Source organism: Homo sapiens, chromosome 4 (assembly GCF_000001405.40).
Source record: "Homo sapiens chromosome 4, GRCh38.p14 Primary Assembly".
Lineage (NCBI taxonomy): Eukaryota > Metazoa > Chordata > Mammalia > Primates > Hominidae > Homo > Homo sapiens.
In genome coordinates, this window is record NC_000004.12 from 35004651 (window position 1) to 35031753 (window position 27103).

The 27103-nt window shown below is 34.2% G+C and overlaps 1 annotated feature.

The window, feature by feature from the left end:
* Positions 16639-17838: an enhancer, noted in NCBI's record as "CDK7 strongly-dependent group 2 enhancer chr4:35022911-35024110 (GRCh37/hg19 assembly coordinates)". NCBI's record gives its function as "activates an origin of replication core promoter dependent on BRD2, BRD4, P300/CBP, MED14 and CDK7 cofactors, with strong dependence on CDK7, by STARR-seq in HCT116 cells {active_cell/tissue: HCT116}" and the evidence as "EXISTENCE:reporter gene assay evidence [ECO:0000049][PMID:35650434]".

The window sequence follows — 27103 nt, forward strand, 5'->3', positions numbered from 1 at the left end:
TTTCCAATATAGGCATTTAGTGTTATAAATTTCACACTGAAGCTTCTTCACTTGCAATGTACAATTTTTGATATTTTATGTTTTCATTGTCATTCAGGTCACAATACTTTCTTAGCTTCCCTTTGATTTCTTCGTTCACTTATGGGTGATTTCTTCGTTCACTTATGGGTTATTTAAAAGTCTATTTACGGCCAGGGAGGTGGCTCACGCCTGTAATCCCAACACTTGAGGAGGCTGAATTGGGCGGATCACGGGGTCAGGAGTTCGCAATCAGCCTGACCAACATGGTGAAACCCTTTCTCTACTAAAAATACAAAAATTAGCTAGGCGTGGTGTGCCCACCTGTAGTCCCAGCTACTCAGGAGGCTGAGGCAGGAGAATCGCTTGAATCCGGGATTCAGAGGTTGCAGTGAGTTGAGTCAAGATAGCACCACTGCACTCCAGCCTGGGTGACACAGCGAGATTCCGTCTCTGAAAAAAAAAAAAGTGTATTTAAGCTTTAGTTACTAGAGGATTTCCCAGTTACTATTCTGTTATTGACTTCCAATTTAATTCTATTTTGGTCAGAGAGCATTCATGCATGAATTAAATCATTTTAAATTTATTGAGATGTATATTATGGTCCATAAAAATATAGTTCACTTTGATAAATTGTTCATGGAATCTTAAGAAAACTATATTCTGTTATTTCTGGATAAATTAGACCACTTTAGATTATCATACTATTTAAGTATTCTATATAGTTGGTAATTTTTGTAAGAGTTAAAATCTTTGACTATAACTGTGAAGTTGTCTATTATTGGTAGAGACAGAAGATCTACCAGATTCTGCTTTATGTCTTTTGATGATCTGCATTAAGGTGTATAAATCTGATTGGTTAATTGGCTCCTTATTTATTATGCAATAGCCCTCCCCTCCCTAACATTATTTGTTTGCTCCTAATCTTATTTTTGTCGTTAATAATGATAGTTTATTTTTTATTAATGTAAGCATGGCCTATAATATTCTATATTTTCCTTTTAACTTACTTTATATTTAAAGTAGTTTCATATAAGAAGCATATCATTGGATTTTGCTTTTCTAAATCCAATATTACCATCTCTTCTATTTAATTTAGCTGTTCTGACCACATACATTTAATGTACATATTAATAGCAATTAAAAATTTAAAAAAATTTATTCTAACTTATTTGATTCACATTTTCTCTTTTTATGCTACCTTTGACTAAATTAGGCAATTTTTTTTGTGTGGTTTCATTGTTTGTATTTTCTTTGGAGACTTGTTGCCTTGAAGAGAGCAATTTATATAGTAAAAGATTCATCATTTTTGTGGAGAACCGAATAAATGTTTCATTTGAAAATCAATATATCAAGCATATTTTAACAAAATTAGAAAAAATAAAATATTAATTTACCAACATAAGTAAATTCACATATAAAACTCTTAACATGTAGCAATTTTTATATTCCATTTTTACCCTTTGTTACATTATTTACTGTAAATCATGTATATATTAGTAGTTTCACTAAAGTTTATAGTTTATATTTTTAACTCATAACATTCTATATTCAGGTAACATTACAAAATTTAACATGTAGTTTAGGAACCCTTAACAACACATTCCATTCCTTCATGTTATGCATTTTTAAGGGAAATGGGCTCTTATCCATAAAATTCAGTGGGCTTACAAAGTAGCTTATGACTCATAAGCAAGTGGCCGTATGTTATGATAAAATGATTCTTTAATGACATTAGGTCATTACAACACCTTGTAGTTTGTACTGTTATACAAAATGTTGTATTTATAATTATTATTACTACTAGTAGTAGTAGTAGTGTTAGCAGTAGAGATCCCCCTGCCTCGGCCTCCCACAGTGCTAGGATTGTAGGTGTGAGCCACCATGCCTGGCCAGTTTTTTCTAATATTAAACAATAGAAATATTCATCTAAATCAATACATATTAATAACAATTAAATGAGCTTCCTAAATATGCTGTAAAATTTATCAAAAATTGGAGGGCTTAAAACAATAGGTAATTTTTTTTCACAGTTCTGGAGGCTAGACATCCAAAATAGCAGAGCCACAGACAGCCTGCATATTCTGGGGAGACTCTTTCCTAGCCTCTCCCAGCTTCCAGTGCCTCCTGGAATTTCCAAGCTTCCTTTCCCGAATCACTCTCATCTCTACTTTCTTGGTCACATTGCCTCTTCTCCTTCAGATATCTCTCCTCTGGGTATCTTTTAAGGTCATTTTTTATTGGATTTAGGGCCTACCTGGATAATCCAGGATGATCTCATCTTGAGAACCTTACATTAATAACATCTGCAAAGACCTTTCTCCAACTGACCCCACATGTATAAGTTCTGTAGCTTAGAATATAGCCATATATCTCAGGGTAGGGGAGTACTATTCAGCCTATGATAAGAATCAAAAAATAAAAGTGACAGTGATAGATAAAATTAAGTCATAAAGATACAATAATCCATGAATATTGTTTCAAAATTCATTAATAAAGTTGTATTAACCTGATATAATACAGCTTAAATTTCATTTAAATGTTTATTCATGGAGATATTTTAAAAGAAACAAGACAGTGAGCATTATTTTTATCAAGAATTCTTTGGAAATAGGCTCCTTATTAAACCTTCATTGGCATCTACTGGCATAGAGATCCCTCAGATTTTGTAGTTTATTTCAGAGACAGCAATAGGTCAGAAAATTATTGGTTTAGGGAATAACATAAAATGATGTGATATTTATTCAGAAGTTAACTGAGTGTTCAAAATAAAGGAATTGTCATGAAATTATTTATTATATTCTATTATTCAGTATATAGTCTATGTGCTTTTAATTTCTATTATGTTTAATTATGAACACTGACATTTATTTTGATTGATGTGCTGCTCTACTTCACATGGCTCTATTTGGTTTTCCCAGACATTCTTCAACACAACATTTGACTTCAAGACTGAATAAAGCTAAAATATTCAACAAAGTGTGGTTTGGCATTATTGAAAAATAGATCAATTGGAAAGAATGGGGAGCCCTGAAATAGCCTCCCACAGGTATATATAGTTGTCCTGTCATATCGGTAGATGATTGGTTTCAGGATCCCCCTCAGACACCAAAATCCACAGATGCCCAAGTCCCTTATATAAAATGGCATAGTACTGCATATAAGCTACATACATCCTCTCATATACTTTAAATCATCTTTAGATTAATTATCCTATATAATGCAGTATAAATTCTATATGAATAGTGGTTCTACTATATTGCTTAGGGAATTATGACAAGGAAGAATATCTGCCTAGTACAGATGCAACTGATGGATTTTATTTTTTAATTTTTTTTTAATCTGTGGTTATGTTGAATTCACAGATGTGAAATCCACAGATATGGAGTGCTAACTCTAATCTAACTTTTGACAAAGTTGTCAAAAGGCAACTGAGTGGAAAAAACATAGGCTTACCAAAAATGGTTCTACAATAACTTAATATCCATATGCAGATAGTCTATACCTTGCACTGTATACAAAACTCAATTCAAAGTGGATAGTAGAACTAAATATAAACCTAAAACTGTGAGAATTCTACAAGAAGATATAGGAAAGAAAATTTATTATCTTATAATAGGCAAATGTTTCTTAGTCACAATAACAAAAGCATGACCCACAAAGAAACAAATTGATACATTTGATTAAAATTCAGAGTCGGTCTTTCAAGACCCTGCTAAATTAATAAAAGGTAAAACACCTTGAATGTATCATTATATTTCCACTCTTAGGTATTAAGAGAAATGAAAGCATTTGTCTTCAGACATTTCAAGCACTTTTTTAATAGCTATTCTATTTTTAATAGCAATAAAATGGAGAAAACACAATAGAATACTATTCAGTTATAAAAAATAAACTATTGGTAAGCATGACATGGATGAATCAGTATAATTGAGTAAAACAGACACCCCTTCTTCCCTACCAAAAGGAGTGTATAATATATGAATTCATCTCAACAAAATTCTGGAAAATATAAACCAATCTTAATGGTTCTACAAAGCAGGTCAGTGGTTGCCCGAAGTATGTCAGAGGGAGAGGTTATCAGGGAGTAGACAGAAATTTTGGAGTTGATGGATAAATTAATTATTTTGATGGCATGTTAGTACCATGGTGTAAACATTTGATAAGTCAAAACTTATCAAATAGTATACTTTAAATACACACATGTTTATAGTTTATTGCATGTAATAAAAATGGTTGTATAACTATATATATCGCTTATTGCATGGAAATTTTAACTCAGTAATTAGTTACAGCATTGTGGATGGCCTGGAGTTGTAGAGTTTTTTCTGGCGGGGGTGGGTAGACAATTATTCTTGTTTGCTTTCTGTCAAAAAGTGGGGGTCACATGCAACAGACTAGACTAACTTAAATAATGTTCAAAAAAGACGTTCAAGATGATGCCCTGGTCAATCCAAGAAATCCTACTCAGGTTTATGTGTGGAGCAGTATAAGACAAATCGATCCATGGAACAGGATAAAAGTGTAGATATAGAGTCTCACATACGGGGACAGTTGAGTTTTGACCAAGGTACCCAGTCAATCCATGGAACTAGAACACTGCCCCTGGTGGAGTTTTCCCACAAAAACTAAGGAGCATGAATATCTATATTAAAAAAAAAAAGTCATAATTTTTACCTGTGTCATTCTCAATACATAAATTCCTGTCAGAGAAGTTATATACGTAAAAAGCTAAAAATATACTTTGTAACAATAACGTAGGTGTAAATGTTCTGGAAAATATCTAGCATGCAGCATAGGAAAAGAAAAAAATGAGTTAGACTCTGTATAATTTAAAATACCTGCCCATCAAATAAAATAATTAAAAAAATTATAAGATAATAAACATATTTGGCTGGCCGTGGTGGCTCGCCCCTGTAATCCCAGCACTTTGGGAGGCCGAGGAGGGTGGATCACAAGGTCAGGAGATCGAGACCAGCCTGGCCAAGATGATGAAACCCTGTCTCTACTAAAAATACAAAACATTAGCTGGGCATGGTGGCAGGTGCCTATAGTCCCAGCTACTCTGGAGGCTGATGCAAGAGAATGGCGTGAATCCAGGAGGCTGAGCTTGCAGTGAGCCAAGATCACACCACTGCAGTCCAGTCTGGGCAACAGAGTGAGACTCCGTATCAAAAAAAAAAAAAAAAAAAAAAATAGATAATAAACATATTTGGAGAATACAGTCCCAATACTTTTTTTCTAACAGTAAAACACATATTTGGAATACATAAAGAATTTCTACATATTGAAAATTAAAAATGGGCAAAATCTTAATCAAATACATCGGAAAAGATGACACACAGATGACCAATAAGCATATGAAAAGGTTTTCAATATCAATAGTTATTAAGGAATCCAAATCAGGACCACTGTTTAGTACACACACACACACACACACACACACACACATACACACACACACACAAATGGTTAAGATTTCAGTAAACAGAAAATGACTAATCATAAAAATGTAAGCAATAATTTGGAGAAACCAGAAATTCCAAATATTTCAAATATTTCCAGTTACCATGAAAAATATTATGATTGTTTTGAACAATTAATAATTTCTTTAAAAATTAAGCATACACTTAGGACTTCTATTTATGCAAAATGTAAGAAAAATCATGCCTATAAAATATTTACACAAGAATATTTATAGTAGTCTTATTCATAAGAGCCAAAAAAATTAGAAACACCCAAGCTTCATCAATAGGACAATGGAAAAATATGTTGTGATATATCACAACAATAGCATACTATCAGATAATAGAAAGGAATAAATTATCGACATATAAAAGAAAATTGATGAATCTCAAAAGCATTAAGTTACTTGAACATAGGTTGCTTCATATGAGCAGAGTGCAATAACAGGCAAAACTAAAGGGTGGTGACAGAAATAAGAAAGTGGTAACCTGGGATAGGAGATAGTTTACCAAAAGAAGGCAGGTGGCAATCTTCACTTTCTGGTCGCTGAAGTAATATAAATCTTGTTTGGGGTTCGTTTATAAGCATCAATTGCCAAAACTCATTGAGACTGGCACTTTTGAACCACATCTTATATGTACTTTTTACAATTAAAAATAATATGTGCTTTTATGGCTAAATGTTATCATGTAGTTTATAGTCCTTTATATTTTTATAGGACTAGTGTCATCTCTCACTGGGCCTCTCAAACAAAATGATTTTAGTATTAGAGTAAAAAAAAATCTTCCTTTCTAATACATTATTTACTGCTTAACATTTTTCTAAATTTGAATGTGCTTCATATTTTGACCATGACATTCTTATATATTTCCTCTCCCCTCAAGTATTTATAATAGACTGTTAACATTTTTCCTTTTTTGTCTGTTATTGACTGAAAGTTTTTGTCCCCTAAATATGTTATGTTGATGCCCTAAACCCATACATGGCTGTCTTAGGAGATGAGAGTTCTGAGGACGTAATTATGGTTAAATAGGTCCTAAGTGGGAGGGTCTTGATCCAATAAGGTTAGTGTCCATATAAGAAGAGACTCCAGAGCATTGTCTTTCTCTCTCTCTTGCGCTCTCTCTTTCATCTATCTCTGGGTCTAGGAAGAGTCATGTGAGGATACAGAAAGGCAGTATTCTACAAATCAGAAAGAAAAGCTTCACCAAAACTCAACTTCCAAAAAGCAGTCTATTGTTTTGGGTCTCTCTTAGCTCTGATGAGGAGTCACCCATATTTCTTTTTGATATTCCCCTCTACATTATGTGTGTATCCCCGCTCTCCCTGCTTTTTAAGCCTTTTCTTTTTTTGGCATCCAACAACTTGACTGAAGTACCTAGACATGTGCACACACATGCACATGGCCACGCTGGAGTTAATTGCACTTCTTAGAACTGTGGGTTATATTTTCTTCTCAATTTCATAATAATTTAGGCCAGTATTGCTTTTTCCCTTTAACTTCTAGCCACATACCCTCTCCTTTCTTCTTCTGTACCTCTCTCTGTTTTCACATGTTTTAGATTGCTTGGTTTTGTCTCATATATTCTGAGTATTATTTCACGTCCCCTGTTTAGATTTTTTTCTTTTGGTATATCTTTTTGTGGATTAGTGCATTCCCCTGCTGTGTCAGATACCAATTAATCCCATCATATTAATTCTTTATTTCTGATGCTTCCTGGGTTTTTCTAATGTTTAAGTTATATTCCTTTTTATGGTTTCCATCTCTTTTCTAGTATTCCTTATCTTATTTTCTGTAGTTATTCTAGACACTGTCCGATAATTTCAATATATGGGCCAGCTGTGGGTTTGCTTCTATTACCTATTATTTCTATTGACCAGAATTCTTATTTCTTTACAGATTTCATTACCATCTGTGTTATTCTTTTTCTCCTGCTGATTTTTCAGGGACAAAGAAGCTACTGGTCTCACCCTGTGTAATTCTATAACTAGAAGGCATAATTTAGGTAGGAGGACTGTTTGAGGCCAGGAGTTCAAGACAAGACTGGGCAGTATAGTGAGGCTCCCGTCTCTATAAAACAAAACAAAAAAACCCTCAGTGTAGTGGCATGCTACTGCAGTCTTAGCTATTGAGGAGGCTGAGGCAGGAAGATCACTTGTACCCAGAAATTCAAGGTTACAGTGCACTATAATCATGCCACTCTACTCCAGCCTGCATGACAGAGTGAGACCCTATCTCTGTCTCTCAAAAAGAAAGACATAATTTGACAAGAAACATGGATAGGTGTTATTACAAGTTAAATACAGGTACAATTAAATGTCATGTTAAAATTGGTTAAGATCAGAAATAAAAGAGAAACCACAGAATTGTGATCAACATGGATTTAGAATAATTGACTATAGGCAGCATAATCAAGGAGAAACAATAACAACTAACAATTATCAATGCCCTCTTTCCTATAGAGACAAGACTAAAAGACATATGTGTGTTTTTATTTTTATTTTTTGGAAATGCACACCATGTTTATTATTATGGAAGGTAGTGTTTGTGTGTGTATGACACACACTTTCCCTACTGGAGAGACATGAACACATGTTATGCACATACCCACATATTTATACACATCATTTCAATATCATATTAACATGCTTTAGATAAAATATATTTTTAATTGTATTCATCCAAAAATATAATGGAATGCATTTAAAGCAATTTATCTGTTTCCTTTTTCCTTCTTTTATGTTCTACTTACATTTCTCCTTTATCTTTTCTTACTCTTTAAAATTAAATAAAATACCAATAGAATGTAGCAATTAAGTGGAATATAAATGATTCACATGGTGAATAAAAGAGAGATCCTTTGTGTGGTGTACTTGCCTAAGTAAAAGTTGTTTTATATGTGCCTTATATATTTCTATTCTGACAGTGTTGGAGAAAACCCATTATCCCTTTCATCAAGAAAGCCCAGTTTGAAGGGTAAAAATAGTAACATTTTTTATTTACAATGGTGTATCTAAAAAATTTTAAGCTTATAGTATTAATTTATTTTAAAATAATTAAAATTAGTAATAATTTATACCTTTAAAAATAATTTCAACTTTTATTTTAGATGCAGGGGGTACACGTGAAGGTTTATCACATGTATATATTTCATGATGCTGAGGTTTGGGATCTAATTGATCCCATCACCCAGGTACTAAGGATAGTACTTGATAGTTAGATTTTTAACACTTACCTTCCTCACTCCCTGCTCTAGCAAGTCCCTAGTTTCTATTGCTGACATCTTTACATCCACGAGTAGCCATTGTGTAGCTCCTACTTATAAGTGATAACATGTAGGATTTGGGTTTTCTGTTCCCATGTTAAATACCTTAGGACAATGGTCTCCGTCTCCATCCATGTTGCTACAAAGGATATAATTTCATTCTGTTTATGGTTCCATAATATTCCATGGAGTACATATACCACATTTTCTTTATTCAACCCAACATTGATGGGCACCTATGTTGATTTCATGTCTTTGCTATTGTGAATATTTCTGTGACAAATATAAGTGCATTATCTTTTTGGTGAAATGGTTTATTTTCATGCATGTATATAAATGAAATATATATATATATACATGAAATATATATATACATGAAATATATATATACATGAAATATATATATATATTAGCATTCAACTCAGCAATCCCATTTTATATATATATATATATATATATATATATATATATATATATATATACACACACACGAAATATATATATATGGGATTGTTGAGTTTAATGGTAATTCTGTTTTAAGTTCACTGAATGCATTAGTCCGTTCTCACACTGCTATAAAGAGCTACCTGAGACTGGGTAATTTATGTAGAAAAGAGGTTTAATTGACTTACAGTTCTGTAGGCTGTACAGGAAGCATGGCTGGGAGACCTCAGGAAACTTACAATCATGATGAAAGGCAAAGAGGAAGCAAGTACATCTTAGCATGGTGGAGCAGGAGAGAGAGAGAGCAAAGGGGGAAGTGTTACACATTTTTAAACAACCATATCTTGTGAGAACTCACTCACTATCATAAGAACAGCAAGGGGGAAATCTGCCCCCATGATCCAGTCATCTCCCACCAGGTCCCTGTCCCAACACTGGAAATTAAAATTTGACGTGAGATTTGTTTAAGGACACAGAGCCAAATCATATCACTGAGAAATCTCCAAACTGCTCTCCATAGTGGCTGAACTAATTTACCTCCCCACCAACAGTGTATCAGCATCCCCTTTTCTTCACTGCCTTGCCAGCACTTGCTGTTTCTTGACTTTTTAGTAACAGCTATTCTGACTGGTGTGAGATGGTATCTCATTGTGGTTTGGATTTGCATTTATCTAATGATTAGTGATACTGAGCATATTTTCATATATTTGTTGGCTGCTTGTAGGTCTTCTTTTGAGAAGTGTCTGTTCATGTCTTTTGCCCAATTTTTAATGGGAGTATTTGTTTTTTGTCTCTTGATTTTTTTAAGTTTCCTATATATTCTGGATATTTGGCATTTGCCAGATACATAATTTGTGAATATTTTCTCCCATTCTGTAGGTTGTTTGTTTACTCTTTTGATGGTTTCTTTTGCTATGCAGAAACTCTAATTTAATTAGATCCCACTTGTCAATTTTTGTTTTTGTTGCAATGGGTTTTGAGGACTAAGTAAAATTCTTTCATAAGGCTGATGTCCAGAATGGTGTTTCCTGGAATTTTTTTTCTAGAGTTATTAAAGTTTGAGGTCTTACATATAAATCTGTTATACATCTCGAATTAAATTTTGTACATGAGGAAATGTAGTGATCCAGCTTCATTCTGCATATGACTAGCCAATTATCCAAGCACCATTTATTGTATAGGGAGTCCTTTCTCCATTGCTTATTTTGGTCAACTTTGTCAAAGATCATATTACTGTAGGTGTGTGGCTTTATTTCTGGTTTCTCCATTCTGTTTCATTGGCCTGTGTGTGTTTCTGTACCAGCACCATGCTGTTTGGGTACAGTGGCCTTATAGTAGAGTTTGAAGTCAGCTAATGTTACACCTCTGGTTTTGCTCTTTTTGATTGCTTTGTCTATATGGGTTCTTCTTTGTTTCCATATGAATTTTAGAATAATTGTTTCTAATTCTATGAAGAATTACATTGGTAGTTTAATAGAAATAGTGTTGAATCTGTGGATTGTTTGGGGCTACATGACCCTTTTAATAATAATGAGTCTTTCAATCCATGTGCATGCAATTTTTTTTCATTTCTTTGTGTAATATATGATATATTTCAGCAGTGTTTTTTAGTTCTTGTAGTAATTTTTCACCTTCTTGGTTAGCTGTATTTCTAGATATTTAAATTTTACAGCTATTGTAGATTGAATTGCATTCTTAATTTGGCTTGTGGCTAGAACATTATTAGTGTATAGAAATGCTACTAATTTTTATACATTGATTTTGTATGCTGAAACTTTATTGAAGTCATTTATCAGTTCCAGGAGCCTTTTGGTGGAGTCTTTAGTGTTTTCTAGGTATAGAATCATATTGTCAGTGAAAAGAGATAATTTGACTTTTTAAAATCTTATATGGATGCTTTTATTTCTTTCTCTTGTCTGATTGTTCTGGAAAGTACTTCCAACACAAGTATTGTATTGAAGAGGTGAAGGAAGACTGTTTCTTTGTCTCGTTTCGAAGACTGTTTCGTTGTCTTGTTTCAGTTTTCAAGGGGAATATTTCTAGTTTTCTGCCCGTTTAATATGTTGGTATCTTCATTTAATGCCTATTTTCTTGAGATCTTTTATAATGAAGAGATGTTGAATTTTGTCAACACCTTTTTCTGTGTCTATTGAGATGATCATATGGTTTTTATTTTAATCTGTTCATGTGGTGAATCACATTTATTGATTTTGCTATGTTGAACCAAGATTTCATCTCAGGAATAAAGCCTACTTGATCATGTTGGACTAACCTTTGATATACTGTTTGATTTTGTTGTGTCTTCTTAAAGACTTTTGCATCTATGTTCATCAGATATGTTGGACTTTATTACCCACGGTGAGCATTAGACAGTACATCAGGGCAGAAAACTAATAAATAAATTCTGGACTTAAATTCAACACTTGACCAATTGTTCCTAAGAGAAATCTACAGGACAGTCTACCCATCAACACATCAACAATAGAATGTATATTCTTCTCCTCTGCACACGACACATACTCCAAGATCAACCACATGGTCAACCATAAAACAAGTCTGAATAAATTTAAAAAATAGAAATCATACCAACCATACTCTTGGACCACAGTGGAACAATACCAAGAATCAATACCAAGAAGATATCTGAAAATCACACAACTACATGGAAATGAAACAACGTGTCCCTGAATGACTTTTGGGTAAACAATAAACTTAAGGCAGAAATAAAAATCTTCTTTCAAATAAATGAAACAGAGGCACAACATACCAATGTCCCTGGGATGCACCATAAACAGTGTTAAGTGGAAAGTTTGCAGTGCTAAACACCTACCTCAAAAAATTAGAAATATCTCAAATTAACAAGCTAACTTTACATCTAGAAAAACAAGAAAAAAGTAACCCCAAAGCTTGCAGATGAAAATAAATAACTAAAATTTGAGCAGAATTGAACAAAAGTGAGAATAAAAAAATCTATACAAAGAACCAAGAAAACCAAAAGTTGTTTTTTTTTGCAAGGTTAAACAAGATCAGTGGACTGCTAGCTGGATTAACAAAGAAAAAGAAAACAGAGAGACAACCAAAATAAACACAATCGTAAATGACAAAGGTGACACTGGAACTGATTCCATAGAAATGCAAAAGGTCTCGTAGACTACTATGACCACCTCCATGCACATCAACTAGAAAATCTAGGGGAAATGTATGCATTCCTGGAAACAAACAATCTCCCAAGATTGAATCAGGAAGCAGGAGTAACTATAAAGAGACTAATATTGAGTTCTGAAATGGAATCTGTAATAAAAAATATACCAACCAGAGAGAGTCCTTGAGCAGAAAAATTCACAGCTGAATTCTACCAGATAAACAAAGAGCTAGTACCAATACTACTGAAACTATTCCAAAAAATTAGGGAGGAAGGCTTCTTTCCTTAATCATTCTACCAAACCAGCATCATCCTGATACCAAAACCTGGCAAAGACACAAGAAAATAAATTAAAAATAATAATTATTTATACTATAAATGAATTTATACACTGTTACAATTTGTTGCAAAACATACATTTTGCTCATTTTTGTTTTATTCAATTAAACATTTATCTTAATGTCTTCATTTATTTTTAAAATGCAATTTCTAAGTTTTTGATGTGGAAAATATAGCAATGTAAACAGAAACATTTGTAATAGTGTGCTTTTAAGATCAAAAGAATCATATTCATTTTCTTCTTTCAAGGAAACATCATCTATAAAGCCATCCAATACCTTTTTGAATCTGGTTTCAGTATCAAAAATTCATAAGAATTAAATTAGAGATTGTATGTAACTTTCATATGCCATACTAAAAACATCACTGTATGAAAGCTGCTCTTACTGTAGTTCGATTACTTGGGGATTAAAGCCTGTTATCACTCGCCTGCTACAGCATGGGCTTCTAAAACCTATAAACTCTCCTTACAATTCTCCCATTTTGTCTGTTCAAAAACCGGACAAGTCTTACAGGTTAGTTCAGGATCTGCGCCTTATCAACAAAATTGTTTTGCCTGTCCACCCTGTGGTGCCCAACCCATACACTCTTTTGTCCTCAATACCTTCCTCCACAACTCACTATTCTGTTCTTGATCTTAAAGATGCTTTTTTCACTATTCCCCTACACCCCTCGTCCCAGCCTCTCTTTGCTTTTACCTGGACTGACCCTGACACCATCAGTCCCAGCAGCTTAATGTCACGTGCGTCCATGAGAAGAGACCACTAAACAGGATTTGTGTGAGCAACAAGGCAGATATCCAGTGGGGTCCCGTACAGATGGGACATGGTTTAGGAAGAATCCTGGGCTTCGGGCATTCCTTGGCCCAGTGGCCAGATTTCCACACTTGAAGCAAGATCCTAGGGGAGGAGATCCTAGAGGAATGCCTGACCACTGTGGCTTTTTACCTAAATCAATCTGGCCTGGTATATGACAACATAAAAAAACTCAAGGATAGAGCCCAAAAATTCGCCAACCAAGCAAATAATTATGCTGAACCCCCTTGGGCACTCCCTAATTGGATGTCCTGGGTCCTCCCAATTCTTAGTCCTTTAATACCTATTTTTCTTCTCTTATTCGGACTTTCCATTTAGTTTCTCAATTCATGCAAAAACGCATCCAGGCCATCACCAAGCATTCTATACAATAAACACTCCTTCTAACAAGCCCACAATATCACCCCTTACACCCAAATCTTTCTTCAATTTTCTCTCTCCCACTCTAGGTTCCTACCCCACCCCTAATCCTGCTTGAAGCAGCCCTGAGAAACATCACCCATTATCTCTCCATACCACCCCCCAAAATTTTCGCCCCCTCAACACTTCACCACTATTTTGTTTTGTTTTTCTTATTAATATAAGAAGACAGGAATGTCAGGCGTCTGAGCCCAAGCTAAGCCATCATATCCCCTGTGACCTGCATGTATACATCCAGATGGCCTGAAACAACTGAATATCCATGAAATAAGTGAAAATAGCCTTAACTGATGACATTCCACCATTGTGATTTGTTTCTGCCCCACCCTAACTGATCAATGTACTTTGTAAAAATCTCGCCCACCCTTAGGAAGGTTCTTCGTAATTCTCCCCACCCTTGAGAATATACTTCGTGAGATCCACCCCCTGCCTGCAAAACATTTCTCCTAACTCCACTGCCTATCCCAAAACCTATAAGAACTAATGATAATCCCACCACCCTTTACTGACTCTCTTTTGGGACTCAGCCTGCCTGCACCCAGGTGAAATAAACAGCCTTGTTGCTCACACAAAGCCTGTTTGGTGGTCTTTTCACATGGACGTGCATGACATTAAGCTGCTGGGACTGATGGGTGTCAGGGTCAGTCCAGGTAAAAGAAACAGAGGCTGGGACGAGGGGTGTAGGGAAATAGTGAAAAAAGCGTCTTTAAGATCAAGAACAGAATAGTGAGTCATAGAGGAAGGTATTGAGGACAAAAGAGTGTACGGGTTGGGCACCACAGGGTGGACAGGCAAAACAATTTTGTTGATAAGGCGCAGATCCTGAACTAACCTGTAAGACTTGTCCCGTTTTTGAACAGGTAAAATGGGAGAATTGTAAGGAGAGTTTATAGGTTTTAGAAGCCGATGGCGTAGCAGGCAAGTGATAACAGGCTTTAATCCCCTTAAAGCCTGTTATGGGATGGGATACTGGCATTGGGTGGGGTGATTAGGTTTTAACGAGATAGTAATGGGCATGTGATCGGTTGCCAGGGAGGGTGTGGAGGTGTCCCATACTTGTGGGTTAAGGTGGGGGGATATGAGAGGAAGATGTGAAGGAGGCTCTGGGTTGGGAAGAAGGGTGGCAATGAGATGTGGCTGTGGTCCAGGAATAATCAGGGAAGCAGATAATTTGGTTAAAATGTCTCGGCCTAATAAGGGAACTGGGCAGGTGGGGATAACTGAAAAAGAGTACATAAAAGAATGTTGTCCAAGTTGGCACCAGAGTGGGGGAGTTTTAAGGGGTTTTGAAGCTTGGCTGTCAATACTCAGAACAGTTATGGGGCCAAGGGAAAACAGGCCCTTCAAAAGAAGGTAATGTGGAGTGGGTAGCCCCCGTTATCGATTAAACAAGGGATGGACTTACCCTCCACTGTAAGAGTTACTTGAAGCTCGGCATCCTTGATGGTCCAGGGGGCTTCTGAGGTGATCAGGCAGCATCAGTCTTCAACTGCTAAGCTGAGGAGATCTGGGAAGGAGTCAGTCAGAGAGCCTTGGGCCAGAGTCACAGGTTCTCTGGGAGTGGCTGCCAGGAGAGTTGGACAGTCCGATTTCCAGTGGGTTCCCTCACAGTTGGGACACAGCTTAGGAGGAATCCCAGGTTGTGGGCATTCCTTGGCCCAGTGGCCAGATTTCCAGCACTTGAAACAAAATCCTGGGGGAGGCGGTCCTGGAGGAACACCTGGCCACTGCGGTTTAGACGTTTTGAAGTTCTTGTGTACTGGAAATGTGGCTGGGATTTCTCTCACAGTGGAGGCAAGTAATTGCAATTCAGAAATATGTTGCTACTTGGCTGCCTCTATTCTATTATTGTACACCTTGAAGGCGAGGTTAGTTAGGTCCTGTTGTGCGGTTTGAGGGCCAGAATCTAATTTTTGGAGCTTTTTCTAAAGTCGGGAGCGGATTGGGTAATAAAATGCATATTGAGAATAAGACAGCCTTCTTCTGGGGTCTAGGACAGTAAAGCGTCTAAGGATTGTTGCCAAATGGGCCATGAACTGGGCTGGGTTTTTATATTTGATGAAAAAGAGCCTAAATGCTAACTGATTTGGGAGAGGTTGGATGAAGAAAAACGAGAATTAACCCTGACTATTCTCCAGCCACCTCTTTAAGAGGAAATTGTTGGGCAGGTGGGGGAGGGCTAGTCGCAGAACGAAACTGTAAGCCAGACCAGGTGTGAGGAGGGGAGGTGATAGAAAGATTTTAGGGTGGGGGAGCAGAGGCTGAGGAAGAATTGGGACGTGGCTAGGCCTGGCGAGGAGCAGCCTGGGGGAGAAGGGGAGAGGTCAGATGAGTCCGTAGAAAAGAAGGATTCAAAGGTCTCAGAGCTTGGAGTGGAGACTGAAGGAACAGACAGGAGAGAAAGAATAAAGATTTGGGATCAGTGGCATTGGGAGCAGAGAGTAGGGAGGGACCAATGCGTAAAAGAAGGCCTGGATGTCAGGCACCTCAGATCATTTGCCCATTTTTCAATAAAAATTATCTAGATCATGTAGGATAGACAAATCGAAAGTGCCATTCTCTGGCCACTTGGAACTACTGTCGAGTTTGTACTGGGGCCAAACAGTATTGCAGAAGAAAATAAGACGCTTAGATTTTGGGTCAGGAGAGAGTTGGAGAGGTTTTAATTTCTTGAGAACACAGGCTAAGGGAGAAGAAGGAGGAATGGAGGGTGGAAGGTTGCCCATAGTGAAGGAGGCAAGTTTAAAGAGAAGGTTAGAGACACGGAGAAGTGGGGTGGGGAGTAGCCCTGGACTGCAATGTGGGTGAGCAGCCAAAGCAGGCGTCCGCGCAATTGACTTACCACCATGGGAATGTGAGTGAATGACCAAGGCAGGCGTCCCCGTGGTGATCAGACACCAATGGAATGTGAGTGAATAATCAGGCAGGCATCCCCACAATGATTAAACACCAAGGGAAGGCTGTCTTTCTGAGTCCGTGACCTGTGCCGGAGTTTTGGGTCCACTGATAAAATGTGTCTCCTTTGTCTCTACTAGAGAGGAAAAAGAACAGGAATTGGAAGGACAGGGAGATTGAAGGGTAGCGAGAGAGCCTGGAGAAGAGAGTGAAAAGACCGCTTACCCAATTTGAAATTGGTGAGATGTTCCTTGGGCTGGTTGGTCTGAGGACCCAAAGTCATAGGTGGATCTCTTCACGGAGTGAGGATGAGGACAGGAGACTGGTCTCCCGAAGGAGTCCCTCTGACCCAGGTCTTCTGCACCAAATGTCTCACGCGTCCTTGTGAAGAAAGTCCACCAACAGGATTTGTGTGAACAGCAAGGCTGTTTATTTCACCTGGGTGCAGGTGGGCTGAGTCCGAAAAAGGAGTCAGCGAAGGGTGGTGGGATTATCATTAGTTCTTACAGGTTTTGGGACAGGCGGTGGAGTTAGGAGCAATGTTTTGCTGGCAGGTGGTGGATCTCACAATATACATTCTCAAGGGTGGGGAGAATTACAAAGAACCTTCTTAAGGGAGGGAAATTACAAAGTACATTGATCAGTTAGGGTGGGGCAGAAACAAATCACAATGGTGGAATGTCATCAGTTAAGGCTATTTTCACTTATTTTGTGGATGTTTAGTTGTTTCAGGCCATCTGGATGTATATATGCAGGTCACAGGGGATATGATGGCTTAGCTTGGGCTCAGAGGCCTGACAATTAGCAGCCAGATGCTAATGGCACTATCTGAGCAAAGTAAATCTGATAAACTGGCAAAGTTTAATTGTTGGCTCAATACAGAACTTATATTCTAAAAAATTGCATTGTCTTTCCGGATGAATTTATGACAAGTTGTGGAATTCCATTTAAACAGAATGTTGAAAAATACTAGCTCCTAAGAAAAAACTAGTTATAATACCTGCTGGAGGGACAAAGGACAATTAGTGATGTCATGTCTCTGACAGTATTTCATCCTCCATGTTTCTCACCTTCAGGAAAGAATAATCCTCATGATAAAAGGTATATTTTTGTATTTCTTTTCCTCATTCATTTGTCTCTATTGTCACGTATTTGAAGTCCCTGTGTAGCATGGAAAAAGTCTTACTTATATTTCATTGCATGGATTCAATAAATATTTGCATATTTTTGACAGTTTTATTTCAAGTGACTGTACTATTCAAAATGTATTTGTCAAAAAAGACTCAAATATAAACATATTTACATTAATATTATTAATTGAATTTACCCATACACATTAAAACTAAAAGGTTAAATATGAAATGATCTTCACTCTATTTATTTAGAATTAATTGCTTCCCTATTATTTAAAATATAATACATGCATGTTTATATTTTTTAGCCAATGTTTCTATAGAGTTCCCTTAATACTAAAATTATTTTAAAATTTAAACATCAGAACATTTTTCCATTTCTGCAAGACTACTCATTGCTTTTACTGGACATATTTACATTTTAATTATATTTTTATAATTTATCTGTTCAACAGCTTATGGTTTATAACATTTTAATACAATTCTAACTTGGCAGAATCAAAATTAAACTAGAGAGTTTTTGAAAACTCATAACCTGTCAACTTTAGAGAACAATTCTAGTGAATAGTCAAATTATATACCAAAACCAAAAATATCCAAGGCTAGAAGAAGATTTAATTGGACATATTGTTAAATATCTAGAAAGTTTACTCGAATAGCAGTTGAGCTCTAATACAAAAACTGTATTTTATTATGTCATCTATTTTGCTTTTATATGTATCTGGATTACACATGTTCTTGACCTGTATTCCTGTCACAAATAAACATTTGGTATCGCTAGTTAGTACAGAAAAACATGAGAAATGGTTGGAAGTTAAATTTATCTTTGTATTTTGAAATACACATGGAAACAAGAATAACTTCTTCAGTATTACTTATTATGCAGATTATAATTTCACAGTTGTTTTCTCACATCTATTTCATCGAGTCTCCTAATAAAAAATAATAATTCTAACACAACTCTAACAGTGACTGAGCTGCCAAAAATATCACTGCCAATGAATTAAATCATGTTGTTTACAATAATTTGCTGACTCTTAATCTGAAGAAAGTACTTTGTGGAACTAATGGTGATGCTAATTGTGCATTTCTATGCTCTGAAATGACAATGATATCATAACAAGTTAATCTCATTTCAATGTGCATTTCGGATGCAAACCACAAAATATATTACAAAAGACATTTTGATTAAAGTTTGCTAAAGGTAAAGTTTTTAAGAAAACAAATGTTTCTCATTTATTTATGCTTGTGAATCTCCTATATACATGGTCTTTTATTTGTGGGGGAGAAGGGAGATTATGATAAGTGATTGATACAAAAAAGGAATAAATATTTATTTTGATAGCTACACGTAAACGTATACTGAGGCCTATGTGCAAATTTTAATTAGAACATTAACAGTAAAATGTGATGACTAATTTTGCAAGGCAAATACTATCCTGCAATTTGTAGTATGTATTGGCAATAATATAATTTTTTCTCTTGATTATTTAGTAGCTAGATTTTAATTTAGTTGATTGTATAACTCACTGACTCTTGTTATCAATTATTTTGGTTACTTTTTAGCGTACATACCACATGAAAAGCAAGAAAAGGTAAAGAGCCAAAAATTTAACTTATTAAAAATTTTCATTTTTATTATTTTATTATCCTTTCAATTTTTAGCAATTCTATCATTATGCTTAGTGACAAAGCAGAGTAACATGAAATTTTTTTTAAAATCTGCAAACTAAAAATTAGCATGTTTACAAATACCAAAATAAATCAAAATCAGAATGAAGAAACAGCTTTTTATAAAGAAATGTAGGAATCAGATTTTAAAAAGAAATCAAAATAGCAACTAAAATTGTTTTCTCAAACTTCTGGTCATACTTCCAACAGGACTGTTAGATATCTCCTAGGTAGGCTGTCACGGGTTTCTCTGTTGATGATTTCCAATTACTTTTCAGAATTGATAAATCGTTGTGTTGAACTTTAAATTGTGTCCAAAACTTAAAATTTCTTAAGAATAAAGTTAAACTCAGATTATTTAACTTATAAAGATTCTTCACATGTATGGTTTCATTAAATCTATATGACTTTATTAGATTTGTCCAACAATCCTAATTGTAAAAATTAATTACATAACTTGATTTCTCAAATATATGTTCTTAGGCTAGCTTTTTTTTCTGAATTTTCTAAGCCCTACATGTAATAATTACATGAGCTAATAAATTACAAATATTTTAAAATTTAGAACACACATGTTTCCCTATAGTGTGTTAAGTTTTTATTAAATACATGCTCTCAATTTAAAGCTACATCACTTAATGAACGTGTTTAGTTTATTCAAAGTGAAACTATGCAATTCCTGTTGACCATAACATTACACAGGTTTTAATAGAAATTTAAACAATAAATCCTTGGATCCCATACTATATAATCATACTTTATATAAATAACTACTTTTATTTCATTCTCTCCTATATGTATGGTTTCTATTTATTTTACTAGCCATTTGCAATGTTTAGGACCTATACATTCTCGCTGTGTTCTGAGCCTTAGGGTGGATTGTATTTCTCCCTCTCTCTGCTAAATATAATTGTATTAGTTTTCTACTTTTGTGCAACAAATTAGTAAAAAATCATCAGGCTAACTTAATACACTGTTATTACCTCATAGTTTCTGTTGATCAGATAAATCTGGGCATGGGTAAATCAGTGTTCTGTACAGGGTCAGGCTGAACTCAAGTTGCCAGGCCCACTGTATTCTCATCTGGAGGCACCATTGAGGAAGAATCTACTTCCAAGTTAATTCAAGTAGTTGGCAGAATTCATTTCCTTGTGAATACGTGAATGAAAGCTTCAAAGTCTTGTTGGCTGTTGGCTGAAGGTCATCTTCATGTCCTAGAGGCAACTGTAGTTTCAAGCCAAGTAGATTTCTTTATTGTCTGCTTATCACATCAAACATGCAAGGACATTCTTTGACTGCTAAATTATAAGATAGGGTACATGATTTAACCTACTAAGAGTGACATTACGTCACCTTTGCCATATTTTATTGGTTATAAGAAAGTCTCATGTCCCACTCATACTCTGTGGGAGAGGATTGTACAACAGCATACACATCAGCGAGTAAGGAGCAATGGGGATCATTGTAAGGTTTGTCTGCCACAATATTGCTAGCATTAGGTTTTATTGTAAATTCATTTTATCTGTTTGAGAAAGTTTCTTTCTATACCTAGTTTATAGAAAGTTTTTAATAATGAATGGATATTGAATATATTAACTGTTTTTCTGCATCTTATTAATGAGCATATAAGTTTTAGCCTTTAATAAGTAAAGGAAGTGGTTTACGTTAATTGATTTTTGGATGTTAAACTCATGTAGTATTTTGGGGATACATTTCATATTATAATTCTATATAGTACCAGATTTTACTTGCTAATATTTTATTGAAGGTTTTGAGGTGAATGTTTATGATTTGTATGTGTCCTTAATTTTATTTCTTGTAATATCATGATAATCTTCTCATATAATTACAATGTTGTTCTCATACAACAATTTTAAAGGTATTCTCTCATGTTATCAAAGAGTTGTGGAAACATTAATATTGCTTATTTCTTAAATGTTGGATAGGATTTATTGGTAAATGCTCATTTTTTTCACGGTAATGTTTATTTTTGCTAAGTATACTTACGTAATATAAATATAATCTTTCAAATTTTCTTTTGATGAGAATTTTTAGGGTATGCAATTTTTTATCCGTTCATTTTTAACTACCCTTTTTCCTTTGATTTAAAATGGGATTCTATTGGCAGTGTAGGGTGTGGCATTGTTTGTTTTTTAATTTTATTATGATAATCTCTTTTTTTAATGGGAGTCATTAGACCACTTACTTTTAATGTAATTTGTTGCTTTGTTTGGACTTAAGCCTGTCTTATTTTTGTTATTTTATTATCTTATATATTCTTGAGTCCTTCTCCTTAATGTTTTGCCTGCCTTCTTTTAGAATAGTTGATTTTTTTATGATTCCATTTTATCTTCAGCCTTGTCTTGGTAGTTTAACTACATTATATATATTTTTATTAATTGTATTAGAATTTACAATATACAAGTTTAATTATAACAATTTGCATTCTAATAATATTATGTCATTTAATTGCAACTCTATGCTCCCATTTTCTCTTCCCAGTTCTGTGTAATGGTAGTTATACAATTTTCATTCTGCATATGCTATAAACCCCAAAATATATTTTTTTAACTTTACATAGACTCATATTTTAAAATAATAAAAAAACAGGGAAAATGCTTATATATACATCCAATATTCTCCATGTCCTTGTGTAAACCCAAATATCTATCTGGCAATATGTTTCATAAACTGGAAAACTGTTATATTAAAGTATTTTTCATAGGGCAGATCTACCGACAATGAATTCTCTCATCATTTCTCTTTGTATTTAAAAAATTATTTTACCTAAATTTAAAAAAATTGATTTTCTAGGCTATAAGATTTTGTGTTGACAGGTTTTCTGTTTTTTTATACTTTATAATTTTTGCTGTACAATCTTCTGTTATTGTTATTACTACAATTTTACTGTGATTTTTTATGTTTTCTTAATTTCAATATATTTTTCTCTTTTCTTCTTGGTTTTTAGCTGTAGGAATTTGATGGGCCTAGATATATTTTTTCTCTGTGTTCATTGTTTTCTATGTTTTCTGAGTTTTACACATCTGTGATTTGGAATCATTCAGTAATTTCGGAAAATAATGAGCCATTCTTTTTTCAAATATTCCTTCTACTCTGTTCTTCCCCCTTTGCCTCCTAGGATTCTAGTTACATGTAGAGGATTTATTACTTCTCAAAGCCTTTGGGTCCTTTATTATGTATCTTTAACTTATTTTCTCTTCTTCATTTTCATTTTGACCATTTCTAGTAATTTATAGTGAAGTTTGCTCATTTTTTCATCTTCTGTATCTGGTCTTGTAATAAACCCATTGAAGAAATTCTTCACTTCTGATAAAAAAATGCGTTATTTTAACATTTGCCTTTCACTGTGTTCTGGTTTCCAGCTCTCTTCTCAGAGTCTTGTGACTATTTGGAATTTAGTTTACCTAGTTGCCTTGCAACCTCAGCATTATGAAGAGGTCAATAATAGTTTTGATTTCACAGATTAACAATTTATTTTGCCATTAGAGATGGAATGATGTTTTCTTGCAACTTTCTACATTTTAATGAGAAAAAAACTCTTCAAAGTTTGGCTTTAATCTGTTAAACCAGATCCAGTGTATCACTAAAGGATTGGTGTTCACCTTTCTGAGGTTTCAGCTGAATATCAGAAAGGTCACTAATGTCACTCCATGCTGGTTCCTGGGAAACCAAACAACTCCCAGCATTTTGCAACTTCTATAATGTCTGTTCACCTCAGAGCTCCCCGATACCATTTCTCACTCAAAACTTGCAGAGTCTTTTCCTGTGCATGCATAGGCTATTATTGAGATAAACAATGAAAGAATTACTTATTTCAATTTCTGGACCTCCTCTTCTCTAGTACTCTGCCTTACAAAGTCTAGCAACTTTAGCCTCCTCAACTCTGATCTCTGTTTCTTCATTTCAGTGGGACCACCAGGATATTCTTGGACTTTTAACTTCCTGCATTGCAACATTGTAAGTGTGTACAGGCCTAAAGCTGAGAAATTTTTGTGTGTTTCATTTTATGTTTTTCCTTCCCATAGGATTCATAGTTCTATGCTATCGATTGTCTAACATAAATGAAGTTGTTTTTCATATGCTTTTTATCAGTTTTCTAATTGTTTATGAGTGGAAGGATAGTCCAAAATGGTTAGTCCATTAGGACTTCAAGCTGACTCTATCATTTATTTATCTTAATAATATTATAAACAACTTTAATAGTGAAACAGAATCTGGCACAGATCTATAAAGCCATTGCATATATCTTTTTTCATTTTTTATTTTATATTACTTGCCTCTACAAACACTATTTTAAATAAAGCAAATGCGTTCAAGTTTGAAAATGAGAACGAAGACTCTGTATCTATCAAATGTTTTCTTCCATTCATTTATTCTGGATAACCTATCAAAACAAAATTAAAAACAAATACAAATGCAAAACCATGGAAGCCAACTATCCACTACAGAATTCAATCAGAGCTCAGAACTTAGTGATAATATCACAAAAATCTTATTTTACAGATATTTAAACCTGACAAAATAGGTTTTTAAAAGAAAATTAATAATGGCTTTTGCTGTTAGATATGGGATTTAACTTAATAGAATTTAGTTGTGGATCCTGTTGAGTTTTTTCCCATTCTTTTTCTAAAACAAAAATGTCATTAAACATAAGTCAAAAAGAGAAGAAAAAGTAATTAAGAAGCAAATATCATAAAAATTTATTTTGAACTCAAAATAGCCTTAACTTCGATTTACAGAATAAACTTAAAAATGTTCCATTGAGTAAATACTTCAAAATCATATTTGTATTGTTTTCATAGCCTAATTGAAAGTAACAAGTTTAGTGTAGATCAAATCATAATTATATCCATAAATATTAATTTACTATATCATATCACAGATTTCTTAAGCTTGTGTTTTTGTATTCATGTCAAAATTTCAAGCCATAAACTTATAGCTTACAACCTGTTAACTTGCATAAAGTAGGAGGAGAATAGTAAATTTAAAAAGTGACAGAATGTTTGGTTAAAAGAAGGTAGGACTGAGATCATGCAGGTAATTGTTACAGCCTCTTCAATGAAATTTGCAATTATTGGCTACCTCTTCAACCCTATTCATTTTTCCCACAAATATTTATTGAATCCTTACTGTATGCACGGCTCTGGATCCACAGAAAGAGAGAAACAGACCCCGTGATGCTTATACTTATTTAGAAAACAGAAAATGTGACAATTTCTTACCCCAACTTGTACGGAGTGTTATAAAATACATATTGTTACAAAACTAGCACTGGAGGAATAAAGCTATTCATAGGCCAGGAAATAATTTCTTGTTAAAATGAGGCTTGAGAACTGAAGAGTATGCATGAATGACTTCCAAAAAGAAATTTTATCCTAGACAGGAAAAAGCATTTTCTACAAACATGAGTAGAATGTGTGAAGACCAAGACTTGGAAAGATAAGCCTGATATTATATTCTTTTTGACAAATGGTTATCACGAAAATGCCAGGCGTTATATCAGGTTGTGGGAGTTGGTGAAGATATAGAGAATGCAAAAAGGCGCATTTTGGTTAACATTAATGAAGGCTGAAATAATAAAGAGCTCAACCCCCTCATATATTCCTTATGTGTAGAACAACCATGTGCTTTAAACTTTAACAGGGTGGGGCAGGAAGGAGCTGTAAGTCTCTTCATTCAGATGAGTGATTATGGGAAAATCAGGCCTCCTTTTAGATCTAATGTGCATCAAAACAGGGAGGCTCTGTTTAATTACATTTCTTTTCCATGAGGTGAATGCAAATCTTTCTCTGGAGATAACTTCATGTGTGTACCAGGAAATCAGTATTTGGAACCTGTCAGAATGAGTTTGGAGTTCCTAGACTGTGGCATGTTTACCACGTTGATGGTGTCCTAGGAATCCTTTTGAGAGAACCATCTGGACTCTCTTGAGAATATCCCAATGTTTTGTCCTTTACATGACATTTGCTGCCACAACCTACATAATGTTTTTATTCATGACAAAGCATCCTGTGGAAATATCCAATGAAAGATTGTATTTGACAATTGTAGGCTAATCAATTAAAGATAAGCTGTGTTATTATACATACTGAGAAGTCATAATATTGCCTTAGGAATTTGTCAAAAAAATTCCAAGTGATATTAAATTTTTATCATTATTATTAACATTACACATTTTATTGATAAGTGTGATTTTCATTGAGGGCAATAGGTTATTAATTATTTTTACCACCAATAATGTTTTCCCAGCATTGCATACATTCAATTTAACTACAATAAAATCCAATTTTTACAAGTCCGTTTCATATATTATTTATTCTGTGAATAGCAAAATCATTAATCAAGTGTTCTTACTGCCATAATTTCCTAGTGTTCTCCAAATTATACAGAATTCATGATTATAGGTTTTAAAGGAACTACTGTGCATAGATATGAAATTATATATACAGAATTAAGAAACTCCCCATTTGACATTGAAATTTTTGATCCTTTATTTGAGAAATGAAAACTTGAGAAGTAAAGAGCAGAGAAAGATTTATATTTCTGGCTAGGAAAATTCTTTTCTCCATCAGTCTTCAATTTAAAATGACTAGCTTTTAAAATGACCACATTCACTAATTGCATATTTTCTCATCAATATGGTGCCTGGTTATAACACTCTATTTCCTACCTCCTACAAAACTTTATACTTCAGTTATTAAAAAAGAGAACTGAAAAAATATTACATAACTCTCCCCATATTGTTTCTTCCATTTGTAAATTTGTGAATGCACTATCGTTGGTAAACAAAAAGTAATCTAACATCAAATAGAATGCTTATATATTTGACTATTTGGATGGCAATGAAATTGACACACTCTATAGATCACATCATTTATTACATGCCATGTAAGGAAGGTCATAAATAATGAGTAGGACATTTTAAAAGAGTCAAAGTCTCCAGAGATTCAGTTTACATAAAAAGAATCCATAGGGAGTAAGTTCAATTTTTTGAGACTTTGGATTCTATAAAAATCATTAGATTCTGAATTCTTTGTACAACACCACCTAAGTCTTCTGGACTAAAAAAGTATAAAGCTTATAAAAGCTCATAAAACTAGTTAAACAGTCTAAAATTACCAAGTAAAACTACCTATTCAGCATTAAACAGTTTTAATATAATTTAAAATGAATAAGGAAATTGCATTGATGATCTATTTGGGCAAAAAAAAAAAATAGAATGTACAAATATAGTGTGCTCTAATCAAATACTTTTCAAAATTCTTCTTTGGATTTACTGTTCAAAATTATATTTGATTAAGACTCTACCCTCCTATGATAATTGATTACTGTTCCATTAAGTATACAAATTTCAACAAATATAAAATTATCAATATAGCATTTTTTTTAATTTTATGAGAAATATGTGTAGATTTGGCATAACTTCTATGCCAAATTTGATAGAATTCATCAGTGGTAGAAAAAAATCTATGC